The sequence below is a fragment of the Homo sapiens genome, chromosome 12, assembly GCF_000001405.40.
Source record: "Homo sapiens chromosome 12, GRCh38.p14 Primary Assembly".
Taxonomy (NCBI): Eukaryota; Metazoa; Chordata; class Mammalia; order Primates; family Hominidae; genus Homo; species Homo sapiens.
Window position 1 is genome coordinate 114,000,097 of NC_000012.12, and position 4,359 is coordinate 114,004,455.

The following is a 4,359-nucleotide window of genomic DNA, read 5'->3' on the forward strand; positions in this document are numbered from 1 at the left end:
TTCTGTGCTGATGGGTCACGAGGCTGAGTCAGAGGATCCACCCTCCTGTTTCTGCTTCCCAACTGCTACCAGGAATTGGGACTCTGATTTCTGGTCTTCCCACATTTGCATCTTTCTACTCGACAATCTCTCTAAAAAGAGAGAGTGACCAGTTTAGATCACTGCATTAGTTTGTTTTCACACTGCTGATAAAGACATACCCAAGCTGGGCAATTTACAAAAGAAAGAGGTTTAATTGGACTCACAGTTCCACGTGTCTGGGAGGCCTCACAATCATGGCAGAAGGCAAGGAGGAGCAAGTCACATCTTACGTGGATGGTGGCAGGCAAAGAGAGAGCGTGTGCAGGGCAACGCCGGTTTTTAAAACCATCAGATCTCATGAGACCCATTCACTATCATCAGAACAACACAAGAAGGCCCGCCCACATAATTCAATCATCTCCCACCGGGTCTCTCCCACAACACATGGGAGTTATGGGAGCTACAAGATGAGATTTGGGTGGAGACACAGAGCCAAACCATGCCAATCATGAAGGCTTCTTTATATCTCCAGGCCACCAAAAAAGGCTTCAGCTGTCTCTGAGCACACCCTGGCTCTCTCTTTTTTTTTTTTTTTTTTTTTTTTTGAGATGGAGTTTCACTCTTGTTGCCCAGGCTGGAGTGCAATGGCACGATCTTGGCTCACTGCAACCTCTGCCTACCGGGTTCAAGCAATTCTCCTGCCTCAGCCTCCCGAGTAGCTGGGATTACAGGCATGCACCACCATGTCCGGCTAATTTTGTATTTTTAGTAGAGATGGGGTTTTTCCGTGTTGGTCAGGCTGATCTTGAACTCCCCAAACCTCAGGTGATCCACCTGCTTCAGCCTCCCAAAGTGCCGTGATTACGGGCGTGAGCCACCTCACATGGCCACCCTGGCTTTCTTCTCTACAAGGATGGGAGACGCAAATAACCTTCTTATAAAATGACTATCTCCCGGACCCTCCTCCCAGGCTCTGCCAAGATACAGACAGTCTCTGCCTTTTCTCCTGAGCCCAGCACCCAGCTGTCTTGGAGAAAATGAGCCACTTGTGAGCCCTGCAGGGCTGCCCTGCCCAGGGTGGTCCACTGGCATCTCTGTGAGCCTGACCTCTTCTGCCCTGGGCTCGGCTGGCCCTGTCTAGGGAACTGGCTGGACTCCCCAGGGCTCCTGGACAGCTTATGACCAGGGAATGGAAAACCGCCTCCCATGCTGGTTAGAATTTTGAGTTTTCTTGGAAGCATTTGATGATTTTTCAAAAACCTTATTCTACTTCTTTTCCAAAAGCAGCCCATAAAACAATCTTACAGCCAAAGGAAATGCATCTTGGGCACCACCCAGGCATGGGCAAGCTGATGAAGAGAGATTTCTTTTTACTCCTTTCTGTCTAGTGCTTTAAGAATGTGATAACTTGGTCTTGTGTTCTCAACATTTAGAGAAGGTTGTGTGTGTGTGTGTGTTTCAAATGTGCCACTTAGTGATCTCCAGGTCTCTGGATCCTGAGAATATCCTAGTTTAGCCATTCCACCTCCTGCCCGCATAAGACTCTCTACAGGCTAATAGTCACCCCCTTTTGAATGGAATTTGAAAAAAAAAATCTGTTGCATAAATTGTAGCATGTTGAGGGTGGAGAGATGAGAGGGTGTCCAGGCTGAGAGCCTGCATGGGGCTCTGACCTGGGTTCTGTGATATCTAGAACTGCAGGCACTTTGCCTATTTGAGGTGGGATAGGAGCAAGGGAGGCTGCTGTGTGCTCCAGAGGGAGGTTGCAATGCTGGGCAGCTCAGGAAGCACCCTGGGAAGCCCTCTTCTCCTAATATCCTAATATTACCTGCATTGGTGGATAGAAGCCTAGCCAAGCATATCAGACACATGAAAACAACCTCAGCCCACATCAGCAGAAGGATCAAAGATTCAAACCCCTAGTTTGGGAGGTATCTTGGGCTGGACTCCCCTAGAAGCCAACCTAGAAACAATGAATCCAGTGAAAGTAGTTTGTTTGGGAGGTGAGCCCAGGAAGCACTCAGAAAGGGGCAGGGAAATGAGATGGGGAAGAGAGAGAACCGAGCCCGTGGCTCCAGAACCCTGTCTCTTATTCTTCATTCATAACAGAAAAGCTTTGACTTGGTGGCTGGCTTTAACTGTGTTAAAACAAGTTGTCTGAAATGCAGCGCTTTAAAAACCCGTGTATAATATTTTATGTGTCTGTGCCAGCTTCTATAACAAAGTGCTACAGACTGGGTAGCTTAAACAGAAGTGTCTTCTCTCACCATTCTGGGGGCTAGAAGTCCAAGATCAAGGTGTGGGCAGGGCTGGTTGCTTCTGGGGCCTCTCTCTTGGCTTGTTGATGGCCTCCTCCCTGTATCTTCACATGGTCATCCCTCCGTGTGTGTGTGTGTGTGTCCTAATCTCTCCTTAGGAAACAAATCATATTGGATTAGGGCCCACCCTAACAGCCTCCTTCAGCTAAATTACCTCTTTAAAGATCCTATCTCTTGCTGGGTGTGGTGGCTCATGCTTGTGATCCCAGCTCTTTGGGAGGCCGAGGCAGGTAGATCACCTGAGGTCAGGAGTTCGAGACCAGCTTGGCCAATATGGTGAAACTCCCTCTGTACTAAAAATACAAAAATTAGCCAGGCATGGTGGCAGTCACCGGTAATTCCAGCTACTTGGGAGGCTGAGGCCAGGAGAGTCACTTGAACCTGGGAGGCGGAGGTTGCAGTGAGCCGAGAACGTGCCATTGCACTTCAGCCTGGGTGACAAGAGTGAAACTCTGTCTCAAAACACACACACACACACACACACACACACACACACACACACACACACACCCCAACCCCCTCCCCCATCTCCAAATACAATTCCATTCTGAGGTACTAGGGTTAGGAATTTAATTAATTAATTTTTAGATACGGGGTCTTATTGTGTTGCCCAGGCTGGAGTGCCGTGGTGCAGTGATAGCTCGTTGCAACCTTAGACGAGATCAGGCACATTAGGGTGGTATGGCCACACTCGCTGCAGCCTCCAACTCCCAGGCTCAACAATTCTCCCACCCCGGCTTCCCTGGTAGCTGGGACTACAGGCACGCACCACCATGCTCGGCTTAGGAATTTAACCTATGAATTTTGGGGGCTACAGTTTAGCAGATAAGAGATAGTGACACTGGAAGGTGTATTGCAAGCCACAGGATCCTTTTTGCTTACTATCAGGATGGTTGAGTTTTTGGTTTGTCTTGGAGGTATCTTTATTCTCTACAATACAGTCCCTTAGTGTATTTCATTAAGTGATCATCTTTAAGAGGCTTCTCGACTGTGGCATCCAGCATACGCTATGGTGAACTCATCCCGCTAGGAATAATTATGCCCTGTCTGAATTAGGGATTTAGGCTAACGAGGAGTTATAAGTGCCAGGTGGTTTCCACGAGCATTGCACACTTGCAGGGATTGAGGTTGTTCTAGGTGGGGGTTCTCAGGCTTGACTTCATCAGTGAGTGCTGAAAACTCCTTATGGCAAGCCCAGCTCAGACCAATTACAGTCTGGTTTTCTGGGGGTGGGGCCTGGCATCAGGGCTTTTAAAACATCCCAGGTGACTCCACTGTGCAGCCAGACTGTAGGAAACACCTTTTTAGGCTAATGTATCTTCCCTAAGTAATACTTTGTCATTCAAAGTAAAATAATGGAGAAGGCTCCTGTAATACGGAAACTTTGTAAGAATTCAAAGATAAGGCAAATTCTTCTTCTCTAAGGACTGTATATTATAGATATGTGATAATATATATGTATTATAGTATATAACTGCAATGTATGGTTGATACACACACACACACACACACACACACACACACACATATATATATATATATTTTTTTTTTTTTTTTTGAGACAGAGTCTCATTCTGTCACCCAGGCTGGAGTGCAATGGCATGATCTTAGCTCACTGCAACCTCCGCCTCCCAGGTTCAAGCAATTGTCTTCCCTCAGCCTCCCGAGTAGCTGGGATTATAGGTGCCAGCCACCATGCCTGGCTAATTTTTTGTGTTTTTAGTAAAGACGGGGTTTTGTCATGTTGGCCAGGCTTGTCTCAAACTCCTGACCTCAGGAGATCCACCCGCCTCTGCCTCCCAAAGTGCTGGGATTATAGGCAGAGCCACCCCACCCAGCTGATATGTTATATATTAATGTATATTATATAATATATGTTTTGGAGGTGGAAGGATTCTCTGTCTTCTGTTCAGGCATGGGAAGTAATTTGGTTTCTGTCTGTCTGTCTGCTTCTGTATAGGATCTTGTCTATTTCCACCCCATTCTCTACCCCTCTAGATTTACTCTCCACCCTGTTCTG

At 47.3% G+C, this 4,359-nt stretch overlaps 1 annotated feature.

Annotated features, from left to right (window-relative positions):
- Positions 793-962: an enhancer, noted in NCBI's record as "experimental_24787 CRE fragment used in MPRA reporter constructs". NCBI's record gives its function as "activates a minimal promoter by MPRAs in K562 erythroleukemia cells, with activity observed for both the introgressed and non-introgressed 12:114438779 variant alleles {active_cell/tissue: K562}" and the evidence as "EXISTENCE:reporter gene assay evidence [ECO:0000049][PMID:34662402]".